A 13,720-nucleotide genomic window follows, 5' to 3' on the forward strand; every position below is an offset into this window, starting at 1 on the left:
ATTCTTTAACAGTTTCATGTCTACCAGAAAAGGCACTTCCCTATTTTGCAGTGTGCACCCATGTTTTGACATACCTATATACATCATTTACATACGTAAAAGAAGCCACATTAAACGGCAGAGGGCTTTGTAAAGAATTAACCTTTTAATAAGAAAAATTATTTTCAACATTAAAGGAAAATTGTGGTTACACAGGCAGTCAGTATACCATCAAACTAATACAAACTCTTCTCTCTATGGGGCAAACTCTACTATTTCTAATGTATTACAATTCTATTGTATTGAATATCACTTCAAAAAATAGGTATCAAACACAGGACCTTACAAATCTTATTATATACTGACTTAATTCATAATGGCATTTAATTTTTTTAAAAAAAATATTTTAACATGGTGCTTTCTACTCAGGAATTACAGATTTTCAAAATGTATAATATATACTTGAATTTAAAATAGTTACATTTATGATGACAGACCATTTATGATTTCCACATCCAGACAAGATGAGATAGATTAACTTTTTCTTATTTTTCCTGCTTAACTACAAAAAGCTCTGGACGCTATATATAAAATAAGCATAATTCCAAAATGTGGAGAGAAGGAGGAAGACTGACTAGGGTCTTTGGGACCCAAGGAATAATACAGTAGTGAATTCCTAAGTTTTCTTTTTGCTTTACATATCCTTGGCTGGGTACCAGAAAAGCCAGCAACTTGAGAATGCCAATGGGTACAGGTGGGGAAAAAAAGCCCTAAGAAAGTCTGCTCTTTCTAACCAAAGGACCAAAAAAATAATAATATAACAACATATAAATCTTTTAGGCAATAACTGCCCTACTCCAGGGAAACACCATGGAAAAAATGGCAGATCCACCTCCATCCCCAACAGCAAAAGTCAATTTGGAAGCCTACACTTTCACCTTACCAGACTGTAATGAGGCGACCCAATTTCCTTGCTAAAGTTGTGACAGAGAAGGCCAAATGGGGAGTTAGGATTTTCATCCCTGTTGGATCCCTGGACAGTCACCTATACCTAGTGATGATGGGGCGTCGTACTCCTCCTTGCCAGGGTGGTGTCAATAGAGGCATGGTGGAAGGTCAGGACTTTCACCCCCACCCAGCTGTAACAATATCCCTCCTCCCAAGAAGATGTCAACAGAGGCTAGGTGGAAAATGTGAACTTCCAGTAACAAGGCAGCACCCCTATTCCCTAACTGGTACAATGTCAGAGGAGCCTTACTGAAACAGAAATTTTAGGAACATAGTACTCAAAATGTCCAAAATTCAGTAGAAAATCACCCTTATACCAAGAACCAGAATAATCTCAACTTGAATGAGAAAAGGCAATCATCAGATGCCAACAAGATGTCACAGATGATAGACTTATCTGACAAATATTTTAAAGTAGCCATCATAAAAATGTTTCAATAAGCAATTACATACACACTCTTGAAACAGATTTTAAAAAATAGTCTCACGAAAGAAATACAAGGTAACTCAGTAGAAGGGCTTCATAGCAAAATGGAAAGAACAGAAGAAAGTATCACTGAACTTGAAGATAGAAAAATATAAGCTCCCCAATCTGAAAAACAGAGAAAAAAAGACTGAGAAAAAAACAAATAGTGCTTCAAGGGTCTGTGAGATCATAACATCTAATCTGATGACTTGTGTCATCAGAGTCCCAGAAGGAAAAGAGATGAGTGGGACTGAAAAAAATTCAAAAAAGTAACAGCTTAAAATTTACCCAGTTTTGGTAAAAGATAAACCTATACCTTTAAGAAGCTGGGTAAGCCCCAACAGGATAAAAACAAACAAATCAACAGACAATCAAGCTTCTAAAAATTAAAGCCTAAGAAAAATCTTGAAAGAAGTGAGAGAGAAACAGCTCATGACCTACAGAAGTAAAAGAAAGACAGCAGTTTCTCAACAGAAACCACGGATGCCAGAAGGAACAGGCATAACGTTTTCCAAGTGCTGAAAGAACTGTCAGCCCAGACTTTTATATCTAGAAAAAATATCCCTGAGGAAGAAAGGAAAACCCAAAACATTCTCAAATACAAGGAAACAGTCTGTCACCAGCATACCTACCCTGAAACAATGGCTAAAATTAAGTTATTGAAACAGAACGGAAATGATAAAAGCAGGAAGAACAAACATGAAAAAGAGTATGAATATTGGTAAATACAACAGGTTTCCTTTCTCTTTTTGAAGTTTCTAAATTATATTTGACATTTGAAGTAAACACTATAGCACTGTCTAATGTGGTTCTAAAAGCATGTAGAGGAAACATGTTATAAAGAGTCACATGAAGAGCACTAAGATGGGCACAGTATCACTTCTGTGATAGTCTTACCAAAAATGCACAACCTCAATCTAATCATTTGAAAACATCAGGAAAACTCAAATTCAAGAACATTTTACAAAATAAGTAACTGATTTTCTTCAAAAGGGTTAAGATTGTGAAAGACCAAAGAACTGATACTTGATTGGAAGAGACTTGAGAGACTTGACAACTAAATGCAATGTGGATCCTAGACTGGATTCTGGACCAGAAAAAGGACATTAGTAGGAAAACTGGCAAAATTTGAATAAAATCTGTACATTAGTTAAGAGTTTTATATCATTTTAAATTTCCTGGTAGTGATAATTATACTATGGTAATATAACCAGTAACAATAAAGTCAGTACTATTTTTTTTACTTTTCTGAAAGTTTAAAATCCCTTTTTAAGGGCCATTTACAATACGAAATAAAATCATTAGTGCTATGAATTAAGGAGAATTGAAAGTAGCCAAGAGCCTATTAAGAATAGATAATAAACTTAAGTGTTTCTTTGCATGCCAGAATTTTATATTTAAAGAGTCTTCAATCAATGAAAGAAGGGAATCTGTGGGGACTAAATTTTCTCTTAATTAGAAAAACAAAGTCAGTGGGGCAATGTGGTACTGTCTACCTCTGATATGGAAAGGAAAAAGGGTACAGAAAAAATTTCTAGTATAAAGGCCTGGAGACTTGTAATATTGAAAGCTTCATGAAAAAGAAGAGTAAAAGCTTTCTCCTTAAGTCAGAGTTTTAGAAAAAAAAAAAAAATAGTAACATAGGCCTATGCATGAGAATCATAGTAATGGGGACCAAGAAACTTAAACCAAGAAACATCAATACTTGCTACTTGATTTGCAAAAGATAAGAAGAAATAAGTTGGTGCTTAAACTACAAATCCAAATTGGTAGCAAATACCACTACTTATGACAGGTTCTTTTTTAGATAGTCCTATTTTTACTCTAAGAAAGCATTTCTACCACTACCTCAACTTTCTCCCCTATCATTCACTTCAATGAAAAAAGTTTGCACTAAAGACACCCTAACAGGGAACAGTAACCACATAAATACCAACTCTATTAGGTTTTTCTGTGCAGCATTTGACACAGAATTTGATGGAGAGTCAGGAGAGGCTACTGCCCCAGAAACTAAGAGAAAAGAAAGTCCAAGAAGAAAGAAGTTTGGATTTGAGTCCAGCCAGATTAAGTGCCTCAGAAAATAAAACGCAAAACTATTCAGAGGACTGTAAACAGAATCCAAAGTCTCTATAATGTATTATTCACAAATGTTAGGATGCAATCCAACATTACTTGCCATAGAATAAACAGAAAAAGGTGATTTATACTCAAAAGAAAAGGCAATCAATAGACACCAAACTCAATACATCTCTGATGTTGAAATTATGGGGATAAAAACGGTGTTTAATGCACCTATGCTAACTATATTTGAGCATGTAAAGGAAAATACATCTGCAATTAATGAATGGATATAAAATCTCTGCAGAGAAACAGAAACTAATGAAAAGGACCATATATAAATTCTAGAAATGAAAAATATAATTACGCAAAATAAAAAAAAATTTACTGGATTAAGGAGACAGGAGTCACTGAACTTATAGGTCAATAGAAATTGTACAATCTGGGCCAGGTGTGGTGGCTCATGCCTGTAATCCCAGCACTTTGGGAGGCCAAGGCAGGTGGATCTCTTGAGCTGAGGAGTTCGAGACCAGCCTGACCAATATGGTGAAACCCCATCTCTACTAACAATACAAAAATTAGCCAGGTGTTATGGTGGGTGCCTGTAGTCCCAGCTATTCAGGAGGCTGAGGCAAGATAATCGCTTGAACCTGGGAGGCGGAGGCTGCAGTGGGCTGAAATTGCACCACTGCACTCCAGCCCTGGGCGACAGAGTGAAATTCCATCCCCATCCAAAAAAAAAAAAAAAAATTGTACAATCTGAAACTAAGAGGAAAAAAATGAATAACGCCTCAAGGAATCTGTGGGACAATATCTAAAATGCATGTAAATGAAGTCCCAGAAGGAAAAAGAGAGAAAAAAGGAGACAGAAATTATTTAGGGAAAAAAATGGCCGAAAATTTCCCAAATTTGATTAAAATAATAAATATACAGATTAAAGGAAAAAAGAGATATACAGTGAGATGAACAGTGTACCCTAAAAGATATATCCAAGTGTGTAGCCCTAGTACCTTTGAATGTAACCTTATTTGAAAATAAAGTCTTTGCAGATGTAATTAAAGACCTGGGAATAAGATCATTCTGAATTTTGGGTAGACTCGAAATCTAATAACAAGTCCCCTTATAAGAGACAGCAAAGAAGAATACACATACACAAAGGAGAAGGCCATGTGAAGATGGAGGCAGAAACTGGAATGATGAATCTACAAGCCAAGGAAAACCAAGAATTGCCAGCAGCCACAAAAAGCTAGAAAAGAGGCACAGAACAGATTCTTCTTCAGAGCCTCTAGAAGGAACCAACCCTGCTGACACTTTGATTTCAGACTTCTGGCCTCCACAACTGTGAGAGAATAAATTTCTTTTGTTCAATCCATTGTGTTTTTATGTAACCAATTATGTAATGAATATCTTACATTTAGAGATTTTCCCAAATTTTGAATTATTTTATTTGAACAGATGTCAAGTTTACCAGTTAGTAATTAATTAGTCAATTCAATGAATATTTTAAAAGAATTGGTAGAGTTCCAGCTTCTGACAACAGGAGAATGAATTCACTGGACAAAGTCTTTTGCAGATATCAAAGTAAAATATAGACAAAATAAAAAATATTTGAAGACACTAGAATGTTACCAAAATCAAGCAGATACCACCAGGGCAGAGATTTCCCTGGAAAGATCAAAATGTATGCAGTAAGAATTATGAGTTTTGACTTTTTTTTTTCCATCTGTGCTTCTTATAGTTCTACTGGTGGAAAACTGCAGTCTTACCCACTGGAGGACGCAGAGGAAAGAGTTTAGGGTTGGCAAATGAGCTAGACATTTTGGGAAGAAATCCCAGGAGAAAGCTGCAGAAGTGGCACAACTCTAAATCTGAATCTTTTACCCAAATTCCAGCTGACTGCTAAACTTCACATGCACAAGGGAGATCTTGGAAGGCCCAATGGAAAAGTAGGCAGAAACCAGTGAGAACTGGTTGAGATTTGAAAGTCTGCTACTTTTTGAATAGAGTGCAGTCCCTAATCTGAATGCAGCTCAAATGATTGAACGCTAAAGCTTTATAGGCCTGTAGTATCAGTGGGTGTGTGGCTGGCAGATCAGCTAGAAATTTAGAGGAGGAAATGCCAGAAAGAAGAAAAGGCAAAAAAAGTGGGCCCCAAAATATAAGCATAAACTCAGCCCAAATAATTGGCTTTCACTATATGATGCAGGCACAGAGGAGACCATAAGAGAAAATGCTGCAGTTATAAGGTAGAAATACTGAGTAGACTGTATCAGCTGAGGGATACCACCATGGAGAAGATAAAGCTTGCAGTTTTAGCTTAAGCAACTTAATCAAAAACCAAAACCAAAATAAAAATATTAATCTGGGGAAGAAATGATGATCCACAGTTGCAATATGTTATCCACAATGTCCATTTTTCAAACAGAAACTAAAGACATGCAAAAATCAGGAAAAAGGTAAATCACACTCATGAATAAGGCAGTCAACAGAAATTGACTCCTAATGGGCCCAGCTGTTGGATTTAGTTGACAAAAAACTTCAAAGCAGGTATGATATAGATGTTCAAAGAATTAAATGAAAATACAATCTCAGTAACTATACAGATATGGAATCTCAACAGAGAAAAGGAACTACAAAAAACAACCAAATGGAAATGTCAGATGTGAAAAATACAACAAAATGAAAAATTTATTATAGGGGCTCAAGAGCAAACTGGAGAGGATGGAGGGAAGAATCTGTAAGAATCCAAAACTTCAAGGTAGATCAATAGAAATTACATAATCCAAAAGACTAAAGAAAAATAAATAGAGCCTCTGAAGCCTGTGGGAGAATAACAGGAGATTTAACACATGTGCAACTGGAGCTCTAAAAGGAAAGGAGAAAAAGGTAGAAAACTTTTTTGGAAAAAATAGTGGTCCAAAACATTCCAAAAATGGTTAATAAAAAACACCATTTTTTAACCATTATTTTACAGTTCTAAGAAGCTAAATGTATCCCAAACTAGATTAAAAACACTCCTACATGTACCATAATCAAATCGGTGAAAAACAAAGATATACAAAGTATCTTAATGCTTTAAGTATTAAGAGGAGAGATTCCTTGCTTAAGCCTAGACAAAACACAACATGACATACATGGTCCTGTAACAACTGGCTATCCTATGAGGAAAAAAATAAATTTCAACTCTTACCCCATACCATACATTAAAAATTAACTTTAAGTGGGTCTTAGCATTAAATATAAAAGCTAAAAGCATTAAATGTCCATAAGAAAACTTAAGATAAAAAGTCTTTGTGATCTTAGGGGTAGTCAAAAGATTCCTCAGATTAGACTAAGAAGGCATAAACCTTAAGGGGGAAAACTGAAAATTTTACTTCATTGAAATGGAAAAACCTCTGTTTTTCAAAGGATCACGTTAAGATAACAAAAAGACAAGTCATAGGGAGGGAGATAATATTTGTAATGCAAATGACTTATGGCCAGGATACAAAGAACTTGTGTAAATCAATAATTATGGGGGAAAATCCCAATTAGAAACTGAGTAAAAGATGTGGACACTTCGCAAAGATACACAAATGACCAATAAGCACATGAAATGAAGCTCATATCATTTGTCCTCAGTGAAATACAAACTAAGATATCAATGAGACACCATTATACTCTCAATAAAATAAGACTGACCATATTAACGTGTACAACCCTCACACATTGCTGGTAGGAATGTAATGTATGTAATACATTAAAATAGAATCTGAAAGTTTCTTATAACATTGTATGTACACTTACCATGTGATCCAGCAATTCACTCTAAGGTATTTTCCCAAGAGAACTGGAAACATATGTCTGCACAAAATATTGTAAATCAATGTTCATAAACAGCTTTATTTATAATGGCCCCAAAGTGAAAACAACCCAAATGTCCATCAACAGGCAAACTGAAACAATTTGTGGTATATATACATAAAATAAACTAATTCTTAGCAATAAAAACTACTGATACATGGAACATGCGTGAATTTCAAAATATACTGAGTGAAAGATGCCAGATACAAAACTGTGAATACTGTGTAATTCCACCTATATGAAATCAGTGAAAAGACAAAACTAATTTTTAGTGCCAGAAAGGATTTTGTGGTTGTCTGGAGGTGAGGAAAATCGGCGGCAAGGGCGGAGGCAAATCTTTTGCAATAAAGAGTCCCATCTTGATTATGGTGGTAGTATACATTTTGGTGACTATATACATTTTTCAAAACTCATCAAACTGTACAATATGGGTGTGTTTTATCACATGTAAATTATACATCAATAAGGTTGATTAAAACACTTAAGTGTAGTTATCTCTGACACAACTGAAGACACTAAGTCATGGTTTATATTTTGCATAATCATAAGTAACCTCACAATTAACTAATTTCCAAGCAACTGTTACATTAGGAGCTTAACACCATTTGAATTTATTGTATGTGTTCAGATGTGTTTATCTGCCCTTGCACCTACACCAAACCCTCCCCTCTTCCACACTACCATTCTGATGTTAGCTCATTGAGGGCAGAAACCCTGGCTATCACTTTCATGTTATATACTCAGTGCCAAGTCGTGTACCTGGTCCATGGCAGGTGCTCAATACACACTGGTTGAATTCATGAATAAATGAATCCCTTACATGTTAGTATGCTTCTGGAATCTCTTGTAGGCCTTTGTCCATTCTCCCTGGGCAATATTAACTGTTTCTATGGCTTCAGTTATATCTATACACTGATGACTCTCAAATCTGTATGTACCATGTTCTCTTACTGATCACCAGACCGATTTCAACTGCCTACTGGACAAATCCATGTGAATGTCCCACAAGCAATTCGAATTCCACGTTTAAAATGGAACTTGTTAAGTTCCTCTAAGTTTATTCATCTCATCCATAGTAAAAATAAAACTTTGCCTAAACATCTCACACTCATACTATCTCACTTACTCCTAAAATGGTCTCTACTTACTTTTCAACATATGTAAATCCAGCTTCCACCCTAACCAGGCCAGTGAAAGCATCCTCTCTGAAGTCAGCACAAGAGATCATTTAATTTTCTCAATTGAACCTTAGACAACTGTACCCTAGATCCACTCCTCCATGCCCAACAGCTTTGTCTTAACTCAATCTTTATTCTTTCTTTCCTGGATTCATGAAAAACCATTCTAATTGGTCTTTCTATTATCAAGTCTGTCTCTTTCTTGTCTAGTTCATCTTGTACACTGCTGACAGAATTATCTTTCTGTTAACCAATCATGTCACATCTCTTTTAAAGATAAGTCAGTGGTCTTTGTCTAATGGCTAAAAAAATTCTAACTCCCAACAATACACACACATTTTTTTCAGCCTCCTCACTAGCCACTTCCACTTTAAATTATTTTCTAAAACACCATGCCCTTTTATGTCTTCAGTGCTTTGATGCTTCTGCCTATAATTCCTTTTCTTATCCACCTTAAAATCTGAAGTATTCTTTAAAACATATTTCAAATATTCCCTCTGCTATGAACTCTTCCCTAATTCCTTCAGCCAGAAATGTTCATTTCCATTCACAATTCTTGACATCACTAACCACACTTCGAGTTAACATTTATCAGGTTATACTTACTATGTCATTTATTATGTGGGGTAGGCATTACAAACATTATTTCTTGCACCATGCTACAAACATTTAACTATTTTTATAAGACCATTGTGTAATGTTTGAACACTGATCCCAGGAGACAGGATTTGTGGCCGTGGGTTATCTTCTTCTGCATATTGATTTTATTTGCCTGTCAGTCTCCAACTTGACCATAACTCCCCGAGTCCAAAGTTTAGCATGTTTAGCAAGTTTAGCATGCTACCCAGCATTTGTAGGCCTTTAATGAGTACTGCCCAGTGTGAGCAAACAAATGTTCCATGTCCTGTGCTTCAGCTGAATCAGTTCCAATGTTCAACGGGATGGCATTCTATGGGCAGATTAACTTCATATCCATCTAATTCTTCATATACATGCTGAAATTATGGAAACCTCTTCACAATATACTATCTACCACCTATCTTTCCCTTAGTAAGAGTTTTTCAAACTGTAAACCTAGTACTGTTTTCCAGCAATGGTTCAAATGTTCCATTTTAGGACTTGATTCTAGACTTTATTTTGAGACAGAGTCTTGCTCTGTCTGTTGTCCAGGTTGTATTACAGGTGTGAGCCACCTCATCCAGCCTGTACTTTTCTTATGCTTTTAAAAAAATAGATAATACTACAGATAAAAAAAAAATTTGGAAGTTTTTCAAGTATGTGTTTTCTCTGACAGTTAAATCTGCTTTTTGATGTGACTATATTAAGATGGCAGAACTTTCTAGAACCTAAAATCTGTCAGGGTTTAAAATCAAGTAAAAACAAGTAAACTACATTACTAATATGATGTTTGATGTATGTATTCCCAAATGTGTTTACATATAAAATTTTACATTAGAATAAAATCTAAAGTCCCTTCCATCTCAAAGGAGTCAGAATTCTTTTTTTTTTTTTTTTAATATATATTTTTTGAGACAGAGTCTCACACTGTCGCCCAGGCTGGAGTCCAGTGGTGCAATCTTGGCTCACTGCAAGCTCCGCCTCTTGGGTTCACACCATTCTGTTGCCTCAGCCTCCCTAGTAGCTGGGACTCCAGGCGCCCGCCACCATGCCTGGCTAATTTTTTGTATTTTTAGTAGAGACGGGGTTTCACCGTGTTAGCCAGGATGGTTTCGATCTCCTGACCTCGTGATCCGCCCGCCTTGGCCTCCCAAAGTGCAGGGATTACAGGCATGAGCCACCACACCTGGCCCTATTGATTTTTTTGAAACAGGGTCTTGCTCTGTCATCCAAGCTGGAGTGCAGTGGTGGGGTCTTGGCTCACTGCACTTCCGCCTCCCTGGTTCAAGCACTTCTCCTGCCTCAGTCTCCCAGTAGCTGGGATTACAGGTGCCTGCCACCATGCCTGGCTAATTTTTGTTTGGTTTTCTTTTTTTTTTTTTTTTTTTTTTTGGTAGAGACAGAGTTTCACCATGTTGGCCAGGTTGGTCTCAAACTCCTGACCTCAAGTGATCTGGCTGCCTTGGCCTCCCAAAGTACTGGGATTACAGGCATGAGCCACCATGCCCAGCCAAGGAGTCAGAATTCTTAAATGGCTTACTCAGTTGTATATATAGTTGAGGGCAGAAATAAATTTATTAATGAAATCTATGACAAAAACAAACCAATATCCAGAAGACTATGGGCCACCACCACACATTAGTCCTACTTACAGGGACTGGTCTTCAAACATTATACAATAGCTTTCTTCAAAATCAAATAAAAGATTTGTAGGCAAAAACATACCAGGTATTCTGAAATAATATATGTAATGCCTACTTCACTATGGGATATGTGAGTCCATCAATAACTGTCAGTTTCCTCCCTAGTTTATCCATATATCCCCTAAATGCATGCCCCTGTTATGTCAGAGCAATTTTTTGAGTATGCAAAAATCTTTTACATGCAACATTCCACATACTGTTCTTTCTTAAGAGTTGCCTTGGGTGAGAAGAGAACAATACATATGAAATTTCAGCCACTGTCATTTGTGGGGAAAAAAAAATCTCCTTAGATATAGCTGGATGCTGGAGAAAGGGAAATGCTGGACTCACTTCAACATGACTTGGAATGAGTGTAGGTATACAGCTGCCATCCACCTGAAGAGTACCATAATTAATTATATGTCAGGAAAAATTACATCATTGTCAATCGTTTCTAGCAAAAGGAAATGTAATGCATCTTTAGATGAAAAATAATTTTTTCCTTCAAATACTTGATTTTTCAAATAATTCCAAGTAGTAGAATTTTCATGTTGAGTTGAAATCTCTTCTGATACAAACAGAAAAGGTTATCAGATAGTTCTACTTGGAAAGGACACGAAATGATAATCATCTTTTTCTGTATCATGATGGCTCATTTCAGATCTACATTAAAGTTTCTTTGGTTGGAAAAGCTCTTACAGTGTTTGTATATTACTTAGATTTTGTTGAACTATCTTGTGTGTCTTACTATGTATGTGCTGGTGCATAAAGGCTCAAAATAAGTATCATAGCAACATAGTTTACGCAGTAATAATGGACTGTTTTGCTCAAGGCCTGCTTGATTCTTACCTGTATTACTGTTACTCATTGTAGTTTTTATATGCACCAGGATTTCTTTCTTCAAACATAGTATTTTTTTTTTACAGGGTTTAAAATTTCAGTAAAATGAGCTGATCTACAATTCTGCTGGTTTTTATGGAAGTACAGGTGTGTGTTATGTTTGCATATCCCTTGGACTTTGGCCTGCATATCAAAGTCTAAGGACACCAGACACAACAGGTCAGTTTGCATGAACTGGGGCTGCCCACTGGAATAACAAACCTGAGTGTTAATGTCACTAAAGGAAGACCAAGCCTTCAAGAGAGTTCTAACACATACTTAAGTCTTTCCAAGGTCCTTGGAAGGTAGTAGAGGTCAAATTCAAGAGAGCTTTTTAAGAATTTTTAAGATTTTAATGGCAAATCAGAGCAGTATCTGCTGACCAAACCCACAAATGTGTTTTGCTCATTGTAGTCTAAGTAATTTATTATGGTTTTATACATTTGTTTAATAGCCTACATGAACATTTGGTCTCAGAGGCAACACAGTAAGTTATGTTTCAATGACAAATTAAAAATAAGGGAAAACACACAGTTGGGCCCTCCATATCCATGGGCTATGCATCCAAATATCAAAAATATTAAAAAAGAATTGAAAAAAAACCACAAAAAAGCAATATGGTATAACCATTATTTATATAGCATTTACATTATATTAGGTATTATAAGGCATCTAGACATGATTTAAAGTATAAGGGAGGATGTGTGTAGGTTATATGTAAATACTACAACATTTTATATAAGGGACTTGAGCGTCCATGAACTTTGGTATCTTTGGGGGTCCTAGAACCAATCCTTCCTGCAGATACCAAGAGACAACTATATTCCTAAATGTGGGTGTGTATGTACATGCATTATTTCTTTCTCCATATTCTCCTAAGAGGAATTTACAAAATTGTACTTGTATTGATCTCCTAACAAAAATGAATACCTTATTCTAAAAAAAAAAAAAAAGCTGCTGCAAATAGCCACCTTGATGATAACTATATGGATTGGAAAACATGAGGTATAGGAGAGATAAGAATAAATAGGTGAAAGGTTGATTCTCAGATTCTCAGGGAGACCAGCCACCACCCCCCCACTTCCACCAGCCCCATCCCAATATAACCTATACTAAGTCATATTGTTAAAAAATAAATACTTAAAAGAAGCCTGTGGCTATAAAAACCTGCTATCATCATATTAAACTCCACAAAAGGAGGCATATGAGTTGAAATGTATTCAGCGTGAATTATATTTGAAAAGGAAGATTTTAATTTAAGTGGACAATCTCATCTTGCTGGAAATGGCATGATTATGATCAATAATGAAATGCCCCTCCATAAAACACTCCCTGATTTTGGACAATAAACTAATTATAGTTTAACTAAAACACCAACTAAGTGTTTCTTTATATTATTTATGTGAGGGAAAAAACCTAGTTTGTTACACTATACTCGGAAGGTTTCACAAACAACACTGTTACAGTGGATGATGCTCACAGGAGAGGCACAGAATAGCAAACTGAAATGAAATCCATCTAGAAGGGACGATTTGCTAAAATAATCCACTTTCATTTTCAACCTAATTTTTAATGACTAGTTTAAACAAAGAAACCACTTATATTTATAGATTTCTAATATAATTAGCATAGAAAAGCATATTAAAGATGTGAAAACTTAAAATAATGCAAAGTACAACATGAAACAAATTCTTTCACTTCAGCTCAAATGCACAGCATTTCAAGAGTGTCTTTTGCATAATAAGTTTCTTTAAAAAGCTGAATGATTTTGAAACATTTTGCCATTATAGTAAAAGTGTACACAACAAGGAACCCTGAAACACTATGGTAGGACTACAACTTTGAATGAGTTCTTATAAAATGTGTAGAAGTTACAGAAGCATACGATTAGGCTGAACAACAAAGTCTGAAGTTCACAGAACTACTGAATAAAACATTTAAAAGAATATAAATAAAACGTATTAATACTTGATAAAACTTGAAAGAAATAAACATTCATTTCTGACAGA

At 35.6% G+C, this 13,720-nt stretch overlaps 1 protein-coding gene across 4 annotated transcripts in view; it reads right to left on the bottom strand.

Annotated features, from left to right (window-relative positions):
• The window catches only part of STAU2 (staufen double-stranded RNA binding protein 2), a 327,112-nt gene that overhangs the window by 115,236 nt on the left and 198,156 nt on the right, over positions 1–13,720 (bottom strand). The window lies entirely within an intron of this gene.

Source organism: Homo sapiens, chromosome 8 (assembly GCF_000001405.40).
Source record: "Homo sapiens chromosome 8, GRCh38.p14 Primary Assembly".
Classification (NCBI taxonomy): Eukaryota; Metazoa; Chordata; class Mammalia; order Primates; family Hominidae; genus Homo; species Homo sapiens.